The sequence below is a fragment of the Homo sapiens genome, chromosome 8 (genome assembly GCF_000001405.40).
Source record: "Homo sapiens chromosome 8, GRCh38.p14 Primary Assembly".
Lineage (NCBI taxonomy): Eukaryota > Metazoa > Chordata > Mammalia > Primates > Hominidae > Homo > Homo sapiens.
Genome location: NC_000008.11, coordinates 95626416 through 95638827, shown reverse-complemented (window position 1 = coordinate 95638827; position 12412 = coordinate 95626416). Strand labels below are relative to the sequence as shown.

At 34.1% G+C, this 12412-nt stretch overlaps 1 long non-coding RNA gene across 9 annotated transcripts in view; it reads right to left on the bottom strand.

Annotated features, from left to right (window-relative positions):
- The window catches only part of CFAP418-AS1 (CFAP418 antisense RNA 1), a 541308-nt gene that overhangs the window by 171316 nt on the left and 357580 nt on the right, over window positions 1-12412 (bottom strand). The gene's annotated exons all lie outside the window — the stretch shown is intronic.

Here is a 12412-nt window from a genome sequence, read left to right as displayed (position 1 = left end):
AGTAAAGGAACTTAAGTCATAAAATGGGAGTCTGAGGGCCAAATCTAGCCTGAACACATATGAGAGATACTGAGAGTTTGGACTACAATGTTTAAGTAAGAGTTGAACCAATCTTTTAAAATAGGAAGATTTCACATAAAATTTAAAATTTGAGTTTCTCTTACAAATGGAGATCTGGCAACATTTATAAGATGGAGCTGACGCTCTCCCATTTGCTACAGTACCACTACTTTCTATCTCCTCATCACTGAGGCTGGGTGAGTTACCATTTTCAGGGAATTGGCAAACTGTTTCTGTAAAAGACCACGTATATTTTAGGCTTTGTGAGCCATCCTGTCTCTGTTGCAAGTACTCAACCCCATCATTGCAGCATGAAAGCAGCCATAGATAATATATAAATAAATGTGTTGTGTTCTAATAAACTTTATTTACAAAAACAGGCAATGGACTAAATTTGACACTGGGCTATAATTTGCTGACCTCTGCCATAGATCTTTGCACTTGCACTACTGTTTTTCTCAGAGAAATATTTCTCACTACTTATGTCATTGTCAACAATGGAGAAAAAATATATATATACATACACACACACACACACACACACACACACGCACTCTAAGAGGACCTTTTATTTCAAGAAAAATGAATGACATCATAAAATTGGCCTACATCAATCATTTGCATTACCTCTCTGGTCTCTGTAGGCCTTTGTGTTTGTGTCACCAAGTCTAAATAATCTCTATAATTCCTTCCAACCCTGTACATTTATTGTTTGATGGTGATTATCAGTGTAGCCAAAAGTCAGAACTCCTGGGCACCGTGTCTTCCCCACTTATCTTATCCACGTTATAACAGATATGTAAGACAGGCATTCACAAAAGGCACAAAGGCCTGTCAATGCAGAAGCAAAAGGATAAATATGCTCATATCTCCTGGTGTTTCCTCTATTATCATCTAGTTTTTATAGGTTTTTGCTTACAAAGTACAAAACAGAGAGAAATATAAAGATAAACCCTACTCAAGTTTTTTGAATGTCAAGTAATTTTTTTTTTTTTTTGAGACAGAGTTTTGCTCTTGTTGCCCAGGCTGGAGTGCAATGGCACAATCTCGGCTCACTGCAACCTCCGCCTCTGGGTTCAAGAGATTCTCCTGCTTCGGCCTCCTGAATAGGTAGGATTACAGGCATGTGCCACCACGCCCGACTAATGTTTTATATTTTTAGTAGAGATGGGGTTTCTCCATGTTGGTTAGGCTGGTCTTGAACTCCTGACCTCAGGTGATCCACCCACTTCGGCCTCCCAAAGTGCTGGGATTACAGGCGTGAGCCACTGTATCCGGCTGAAATTCAGGTAATTTTTTAAAGTATTAATAGTCAAAGGCAAAAGTAGATTCATTCCAGTTTAAAGTCAACTTCCAATCTGTAAGCAAGATTTTGAGTCAGTTAATGATAGAATGTCTTTGCCTTTTTCTCCACTCAAATTCTAATAAAATATTTTTTCTTTTTAACAAAATAGTAATCTCAATAAAAATGAATACAGAAGTAAACCAGATTTTCTCTATGACTTTATTTCCTGAATTCATTCTCAAAGATGATGCCATGTATATAACCCCTTTATAGATGGAGACCTCTTGTTTACTTCAGACTCTGAGCTTCTTGTATAAACTACAGTAAAAATTATCTAATCCCAGATTCTTCTCTAAAGTATACTGGATTATGATATTAACATATTTTATCAATTCTAAGAGGTTAATTTCTTCACATTTTAATATCTTCATATTTGGGATTACTCTCACAATTACTGTTACCTAGTTGATGGTTGTAATGAAATCAGCCATGTAGGTACATGAACAACTTTAGTTGTTAACCCTGATGGAATTTATTGTAACAATGACAACTCCTCAGCAGTTTAGTTAACAAACCGTTTAGGAACTATTTGAATGCTACTGACTTTTGGACATTGATTTCGTATCCTGAAACTTTGCTGAAGTTTTTTATCAGCTCAAAGAGCTTTTGAGCAGAGACTATGGGGTTTTTTAGGTATAGAATCCTATCATCTATAAACAGGGGTAGTTTGACTTCCTCTCTTCCTATTTTGATGCCTGTTATTTCTTTCTCTTGCCTGACTGGTCTGGCCAGGTCTTCCAATACTATGCTGAATAGGAATGGTGAGAGAAGGCATCCTTGTCTTATTCCAGGTTTCAAGAGAAATGCTTCCAACTTTTGCCCATTCAGTATGATGTTGGCTATGGGTTTATCATAGATGGGTCTTATTATTTTGAAGTATGTTTCTTCAATGCCTAGTTTGTTGATGATTTTTTAACATGAAGGGATATTGAATTTTATCAAAAGGCTTTTCTGCATCTATTGAGATAATCATATGGTTTTTGTTTTTAGTTCTGTTTATGAGATGATTCACATTTATTGATTTGTGTATGTTGAACCAACCTTGCATCCCAGGAATAAAGCCTACTTGATCATGGTGGATTAGCTTTTTCCTGTGCAGTTGGATTCAATTTGCTAATATTTCATTGAGGATTTTTCCATCCATGTACATCAAGGATACTGACCTGAAGTTTTGTTTTTTTATTGTGTCTCTGCCAGGTTTTCATATCGGGATGATGCTGGCCTCGTAGAATGAATTAGGAAGGAGTCCTTTCTCCTCAATTTTTTTGGAATAGCTCTTCTTTATATTTCCGGTAGAATTTGGCTGTGAATTTGTCTGCTTCTGGGCTTTTTCTGGTTGGTAGGCTTTTTATTACTGATGCGATTTCAGAACTCATTATTGGTCTACTCAGGCATTCAATTTCTTCCTGACTCAATCTTGGGAAGTTGTATATTTTCAGGAATTTATTCGTTTATTCGAGTTTTTCTAGTTTGTGTGCATAGAGGTGGTTTGCAGTAGTCTCCAAGGGTTTTTTGTATTTTGGGGTCCGTGGTAATGTCCCCTTTGTCATTTCTGATTGTGTTTATTTGCATGTTTTTGTTAGTCTAGCTAGCAGTCTATCAATCTTATTTTTCTTTCAAATAACAATCTCTTGGATTCATTTATCTTTTTATGGTTTTTTTGCATCTCAATTTCCTTCAATTCAGCTCTGATCTTGGTTATTTCTTATCTTCTGCTATCTTTAGGGTTAGTTTGCTCTTGGTTCTCTAGTTCCTCTAATTGTCACGTTAGGTTGTTAATTTGAGATCTTTCTAACTTTTTAATGTGGGCATTTAGTGCTATAAACTTCTCTCTTAACACTGCTTTAGCTGCGTCCTGGAGATTCTGGTGTGTTGTATCTTTGTTCTCATTAGTTTCAAAGAATTTTTTGATCTCTGCCTTAATTTCATTCTTTACCTACAAGTCATTCAGGAGCAGGTTGCTTAATTGCCATGTAATTTTATGGTTTTGAATGATTTTCTTGGTATTGATTTTTATTGTTCTGTGGTCTGAGACTGTGGTTGGTATAATTTCAGGTTTTATTTAATTTGCTGAGGATTGTTTTATGTTCGATTGTGATTTAGAGTATGTGGCATTGTAGAGATGAGAAGAATGGATATTCTGTTGTTTTGGGGTGAAGAGTTCTGTAGATGTCTATTGGGACTGTTTAGTCAAGTGTCGAGTTTAGGTCCTGAATATCTTTGCTACTTTTCTGTCTCAATGATCTGTCTAATACTGTCAGTGGAGTGTTGAAGTCTCCCATTATTACTGTTTGGTTATCTAAGTCTTTTCATATTTGGTCCAGCAATCCCATTATTGGGTATATACCCCCAAAGTATACAAATCATTCTTTTGTTTTTTGAGATTGGGTCTCAGTCTGTCACCCATGCTGGAGTGCAGTGGTGTGATCATGGCTCACTACAGCCTCGACCTCTCAGGCTCAAGCAATCCTCCCACCTCAGCCTCCTGAGTATCTGGGACCACAGGCATGCACCACCACACCCAGCTAATTTTTTGTATTTTTGGTAGAGACAGGGTTTCACCATGTTGCCCAGGCTGGTCTGAAACTCCTGAGCTCAGGCAATCCATCTTCCTTGGCTTCCCGAAGTGCTGAGATTACAGGCATGAGCCACCATGCCCGGGCAAAAAAATATAAATCATTCTACCATTGAGAAAATGAACACGTATGTTCATTGCAACACTATTCACAATCGCAAAGACATGGAATCAACCTAAATGTCCATTAACAGTAGACTGGATAAAGAAAATGTGGTACATACACAACATGGACTACTACATGGCCATAAAAATGAATGAGATCATGTTCTTCGCAGCAACATTGATGGAACTGGAGGCCATTATCCTAAGTGGACTAATGCAATAACAGAAAACCAAATAACGTATGTTCTCACTTATAAGTGGGAGCTAAACATTGAGAACATATGGACACAAAGAAGGAAACAACAGATACCAGGGCCTACTTGAGAGTGAAGGAAGAAGAGGCTGAGGATTGAAAAACTACCTATCAGGTACTATTCTTATTACCTTCGTGATGAAATAATGTGTACACCAAACCCCTGTGACATGTGGTTTACCTATAAAACAAACCTGCACGTGTACCCTTGAACCTAAAATAAAAGTTTTTAAGAAGGAACTATTTGAGGAATATGAGCATGGTTTATTTTCTGATCACCTTTTGTCGATACCCTATGAGCAGATCAAAACATTTTCATAATCATAACTTGCACAGCAAGCATCAGTAACCAGAAGAAAACACTAGAGATCATACTAGAGCATTCTTTTAATAAATAACATGTTATTAATACTCCCAATGGTACAGAGAATCATATTGCGTAGAAAAATATAAATATCAACAACTTTGAATTTAAAAATTATTCAGGATGGGACTTCCAGTTACAGCAACGTGAAGAGGCTGGGAAATCCTCTGCCCCCCAAAAATAAGTTTAAAGTGACAAATTTTTCAAAAATATGCATTTCAGTGCTTTGGATATTGACCAAAAACAAACATTATCTTAAGAAGCACTAATTCATGACAAACTACTATAATTTTGAATAATAACACTGGGAAGCTTCAGATTGCTTGAGTGTGGCTGCTTTCTCTTACCAGGGTGAGTCTGAGGAAACCATCAACTTCCTGCCAGCAGAGGCTATTTCAGAGTGGAGAGTGGAAATTAATGCCTAGCAGTGTATTGTCAGTAAAAGTAAGAGTTGTAGGCAGCTCTACCAGCCTAAGAGTGTGACTTCAGCCAGGAACTTAATAGAAGAACCTGGATATGAGAGAGTTATAGAATGGCTAAACAAGTTCATACTTATCTCTGGTTGATTGGGAAACTATAGGCAGGCATTGGGAAGATCCAAGGGGAGTCAGCAGAAAGTAAAAACTGAGGCAGGACTGAAAATTATCAGGACTTTAAATGTGCACCTTAACACAAATACAAATTACGTGGCAGAGAGTGGAAGTCTTAAGAGCTGAGGGGTTGAAGCATAGCCTCTGCCTGATGACTGGCTGACAAAGAAGCTACACAGACACAGGGGCAACTTCTTGAAATCCAGGATAAAAAATATAAATATGATTTTCTAAAAAAAAAAAAATTAACAAAAATATCTGTGGCTGTACATTGTGAAGGAGACAGGTCCTGCAGATTAAGCCCAGGCATGTTACTAAAAATTGTAACAACAAATCTTAGGAAAAGAAACTCAGAATCCAGAGTTACTATAATACATTATATAAAATGCTCAATTTTCAACAAAAAAATCATGAGACTGCAAAGAACCAAGAAAACATGACCATGCAAGGGAAGAAAAAAATAGCAGTGAATAGAAACCGACTCTGATGGGATCCTGACATTGTTTGGATGTTTGCCCCTGCAAATCTCACATTGAAACGTTGCCTCTAATGTTGGAGATGGGGCCTAATGGGACGTATTAGATCATGGTGACTGATCCCTCACGAATGGCTCAGCACCAAGGCGTTAGTTATGAGTGAGTTCTCATTCAGTTAGTTCATATGAAATCTGGTTGCTTAGAAGAGCCTGGGACCTCCCCCTTCTCTCTCTTGCATGTGATGCCTACTCCACTTTCACCTTCCACTATGAATGTAATCTTCCTGAAGTCCTCACCAGAAGCAGATGCTGATACTATGCTTAGTGTATAGCCTGCAGAAACATGAGACAAAATAAAACTTCTTTTCTTTATAAATTACCCACTCTCAGATACTTCTTTATGGCAATGTACAACAAACTAACACAGACTTAGATGTTGCAGGTAACAGACAAAGACTTCAAAGCACCTATAAAAAATATGTTCAAAGAATTAAAGGAAAAACGTCTTCAAAGAATGAAAGGAAAATATGATGACAATGACTCCATTAATAGGGAAGTACAGTAGAGAAACAGAAACTACAAAAAGAACCAAATGGAAAGTCTATGATTAAAAGGTACAATAACCAATTAAAAATCACTGGATGGGCTCAACAGCAGATATGAGTTAGCAGAAGAAAGAATTTCTACTGATCCAATCTGAAGACCAGAAAGGAAAGAGATAGAAGAAAAATGAAAAGAGCCTCAGAGACCGGTGGGACAGCATCAAACATATCAATATATGTGTAAAGGGAGTTCTGCAGTACAGAGAGAAAGAGACAGAAAAAGTACTTGAAGAAATAAGAGCAAAACACTCTCAAACTTGATGAAAAACAAGTTCAATGAACATAACATAGGTAGACTCAAAGAGATCCACTTTTAGACTTGTCATAGTCAAACCACTAAAAAAGGAAGAAAGTCTTGAAAGCATCAAGAGAAAAATTCATATCCTGCAGGGAAAGAATATGATTAGTAGATGACTTATAATCAAAAATCATGGAGGTCAGAAAATAGTAGAATGACATATCCAAAGAAATAAAAAGAAATTTCAAGCTAAAATTCTGTATACACTAAAACTATTCTTCTAAAATGAAGATGGAATAAAGACATTCTGATATAAACAAACTGAGAGACTGTTTTTAAGAGGCTCATGCTAAGGAATACTAATTAAAGTCTTTCTAACTGAAAGGAAATGACGCTAGATAATGCTAAAACACAGGAAAAAAATGAAAAGCACCAAAAATGATAAACATGTGGTAAGTATAAAAGTCTGTCTAAATATTTTTATGTTCTTCTCTTTAATTTTTTTAGAAACATGAAATTGTATAAAGCAATAACTATATTACAATATTGTTAGATTTATAACATTAATAATTATATACAATAGTAGCACAAAGGTGGGTGATCTTGGAGAGCAATATTAGAGCAAAATTGCTGTCTTTTACCAAAGTAATCCAGTATTAACCTGAAATAGATTGTGATAAGTTAAGATGAGTACTGCAATCCCTGGAGCAACCACTAAGAAAACAACTCAAAAAAATTAAAAACCAATAGAAAAATTAAAATAATATACTAAAGATACTTGTTTAATACAAAAGAGGAAGTAAAGGAGGAAAAGAGGGAAAAATTGAATGAGACATATAGACAACAAAGTGGCAGATATAAATCTCACCATATCAATAATTATATTTAATATGAAAGGACTAAATGTTCTAATCAAAAGGCACAAATCATCAGGCTGGATGAAAATACAAGAGTAACTATATGTTACCCAAAAGAAACACACTTAGATGACTTTAAAGAAACTGTCAAATAGATTGTTAATAAAAGGATGTAAAAGGTATAACATGAAAAAATAACTACAAGAAAGCTGGAGGGATGATATTAATATTAGTCAAAATATACCCTAGTACAAAAAATATTGCTAAAGACAAAGAGAGACATTTCAAAATGATCAAATGGTCAATATGTCATGATGGAATATAAATATATATTCATGTATAATACATGAAGTAATAATTGGTAATTGAAAGTAGAAATAAGCAATTCAAAATTGTAGTTGGAGATTTCAATATTGCATTCTGAATAACTAAAATAAATAACTAGAAAGAAAATTATTAAGGGCACAGAGGACTTCAAGAATACTACCAATCAACTTAATCTGACATTTACAGAACACTCCATCCAGTAGCAGGAGCATATATATACATATATACATATATATGTATATATACACATATATACATATATATGTATATATACACATATATACATATATGTATATATACACATATATACATATATGTATATATACACATATATACATATATGTATATATACACATATATACATATATACATGTATATATACATATATACACATATATACGTATATATACATATATACACATATATACATATATATACATATATATACACATATATACATATATACATGTATATATACATATATACACACATATACATATATACATGTATATATACATATATATACACACACACGTATATACATATATATGTTCTTTTCAGTATAGAACATATGCTAGGACATAAGACATGCCTTAATGAATTTAAAATGGTTGAAATCATTCAAAATATGTTTTCCTACCACAATTGAACTAACTCATAAATAATCTACAAAAAGAAATTTGAAAATCCCCCAAATCTTGGAAATTAAATAATATTCTTCTTAATAACCCATAGATTAAAGAAGAAATCACAAGGATACTTAGAAAATATTCTGAAATTGAATAAAAGTAAAAACAATGCTACCTTATTTCAAAACTAACTAGAAAGCTAGAATAATAATCAAGACAATATGGTACTGGTGTGAGGACAGATATATAGATCAATGGAACAAAAAAGAAAGTCAGCAGATACACTCTTACATTTTTGTTCCATTGATTTATTGACAAATTTTCCAAGAAAATTCAAGAAAGGATAGTATTTTCAATAAATTGTGCAGAGACAATTAGATATACAAACACAGAAAAAATAAAATTAGACCAGTACTTCAGATCACACATAAAACATTAATTCAAAATGAATTAGCTAAAGCTTTCTTTGTAGCAAGCATCAATAATTTTTTCCTTTCTATTGTTGAACAGTAAAACAACAAAAATATGATTCTTAAAAGAAAGGGTTGATACTGTAGATTTCATCAAAACTGAAAACATTTGCTCTTCAAACCATTAAGAAAATGGAAAGAAAAGCCACAGACTAGGAGAAAATATTTACAAAGTATACCTCTGAAAAAGACTTGTATACAGAATACATAAATAATTCTTACAACTTAATGATAAGAAAACAGATAACACAATGGACAAAATGTTTGATAGATATTTTACCAAAGACAATATATAAGTAGCCATTATATGCAGAAAAAATGCTCAACATCATTAGTCATTAGTGAAATGCAAATTAAAACCACAATGAGATACCACTACATAATCACCAGGATGGCTATAATAAAAATAAAACTAACAATACCACAAATAGGTGAGGATGTGGAGAAACTAGAATCTTCATACATTGATGATGAAAAAGTAAAAATATACATCCACACTGGAAAATGTTAACAGTTTCTTTAAAATGATATATGTAATTCCCACATGGCCAAGCAATTCCATTTTTAGGTATCTACCCCCCAAAATAAAAATGTGTTCACACCAAGCCTTATACATGAATGTTCATAGCAGCATTATTCATAATAGCTCCAAACTGGAAACAAATATTTTAAAACACAATGTAACATAGCCATATAATGGAATACTACTCAGCAAAAAAAGAAACAAACAACTGATACATGCCACTTATAGATGAATCTCAAAAAATTATGCTAAGTGAAAGAATCAAGCACAACACAACTACACACTGCATGATTCTATTAATATGTAATTTCCTGAAAAAACAAAAAGAAACAGAAATTAGATTACTGTTTGCCTCAGGATTGGGATGGAAGAGACTGAATACAAACAGGCATGAGGCAACTTTTGGGTTGATAAAAATGTTCTAAAACTGGATTACGGTAACCACCATAAGACTCTATGTCTTTTCTGAAGATTATTAAATTGTATACCTGTACAAGGTAAATTTATGTTACATAAATTTTGCTTCAATAAAGCTTCTTTTAAAAGTGATTCAGAAAAATTGAAATCTAAATATAAAAAGGCTTTGGAAGTTTTACACTTATATTTTCCTTTTTATATAGACACAAGAAGCTGAAGACCAGGGAGATAAAGTAATTTGCTCAAGATCACGGAGCTAGTTAAGTGAGTGCCAGAATCAGAAATAAGAATTCCTAATCAATGGACTTTTCACTGTGAAGGTTATAGGGGATTACACAGGTTAACTGGAAAAAAAAATTCAATGGAGTAATTGCTTTAAATCATTTTTTCCAAAAATGTGAGCATAAATTGATGAATGAAAAGAAACAGAGTACTCCTGGTAAGAACTGGAGTCTTCCACAGCTTTCCTTGAAGTCAGCTGCCAATCTATACAGTTTACTGAAATTACTAATAGCAAATTAGAAATTACCCAAAAGCACTATCTTCAACCTCTTCACTTTTCCTGATTCTAAGGAGATCTCAAGATTTGTCAAGGAAATAAGAATCTCAACATCACACACACACACACACACACACACACACACACACACACACAATGATAGAAGCTTGTAAGATGCTTTGATTTTTTTTCCCTTTACCTCCATAGGGGAAATAAAACTGCCCTAGAGACCGAAAAGCAAATATTTTTCTATATATTTTTAAAACCAGAAAAATGGAAACCTACATTTTTGCCTTTAAGCTATGGTCTATGGCTTGGACAGGTGGAATGAGAAAAAAAATGTAGTACCAAGACTCATCTCTTCTTTCTCTCTGGCTACATTCAAGAAAAAAAACGGAGCCCTCTGGTGGTAGAATTACTATATTCACAATTAAGTTTCTAACATAAACCCTTTTCAGTAATCTAGTGGCAAAAACTTAAATTTTATATCCAGAAACTTGGCAACTCTTAATCTTCAAAGAACATTTTATTAAAATGAGTGTAGCTCTTTATATAGTCACTAGTTTTATATAGCTCTTTATTTTATGTAGCTCTTTGTGGTATATGTATGTTTGGGGGAGCAGGGGTGGTCCCTGGCAAGGGGTTTAAAGCTAATAAATATTTAAATTCTAGAAATGGCACTTCTTAAGTTATGTCGATTAGAGGTTAGAAATAAGTTCCAGAATCACTCCAACAATTAGATCATTTTGATAGTCCCTCACCCTCTCAAATATAAAATAGTTTCAAATATCAAAATATTTGGTAACCATTGTGGTTTATTTGGAAGTTTTACCACATCCTATATCTAACATTTAAACTTCTTCATTGGTAGTTACAATTGTTCCTTTGCAAAGCACCATGGAAACATGTAGCTTATAAGACCAATGAGTTTATGAGAGGTAAATTAGGCTATCACTTTTATAAGATGCCTTCTAGTTCATAGGAATTGTCTTTTGGAACTTAATCCTGTTGACTTTGGTGGTCGATGGGAGGCAAGAAAAACTATTCTTTGGTTCCCACATTTTTCCCCCTCACTGCAGGGAAACAAGAAAACACAGATGCCAGGAATGCAGTCATTAGCAGAAAAAGTTCAACTGCCTGGTAAAATTAAGGAAAAAAAGACAACAATTGCCTAATTTGATTCTGAAAGTTTTTGTTTTATTTTTAATCATCTAGAGTTCAGTTTGAAATAAGTTGATTGATCTAGTACCAGCTAAAAGGTACTGCTTTACTTCAAAGGCTTTGTTGGGAAATATCATTTAGTAGTGTGAAAGGTCAGAAGTAGGGTAGACACACGTTTTATATAACTCACCACATAAGCAAACTTTACCTAGCCATTACTTCGTTTATTTCCTTAGAGCTCACTCTGGATAATTCTCAGACTCGTGTTTTATTTTCAGAAAATCGAGTCTCCTCTCTTCTTCAGTCACACAAATTGCATCGGTTCTTAAAGAAAGCCATACCTCAGGACCTCACAAAGAGGTATCTATTACCAGGAGCTCTAAGCAAATGTTCTTTTAATTAGCTACATTTATCTTTAATCCCTGTTTTGACAGAAACTCTAACATAAACATACATTACCAATACATAAAACCCAGCTCAAAGTATGGTTAATTTTTATATTTGACAGAGCCAGTTGGAAAAAATAACTTTGCCCTTTCTCCATCTTTGTGTGATGTCACTACAACCTAGTCTCAGAACCAAAGACAGAAACAGTGGCATCTGCAGCTACAGCACAATCATGACTCTTAAACTGCTCCTTAAAAGTGGCAATAAAAACCCTAATAAGACCTCTGGGCCTTATGTTGAAGCAGCTGCAAAATCAAGTTAAATAATTTTTGCAAAGACTACAGTAATTATAAAACTGATTAAAGTTTACCTACACTTCATTCCTAGAGGGTTTTCACCAAGGACTTAGAAACCAGATGGTTCAAGACTATGCATGATGGATATATTCCATGAAGCATGTCCGTTGTCATGGAAACAACAGAAATAACATTATCTTTACTGTCTATTCCTTCACAAAACCATGCATTCAAAAGTT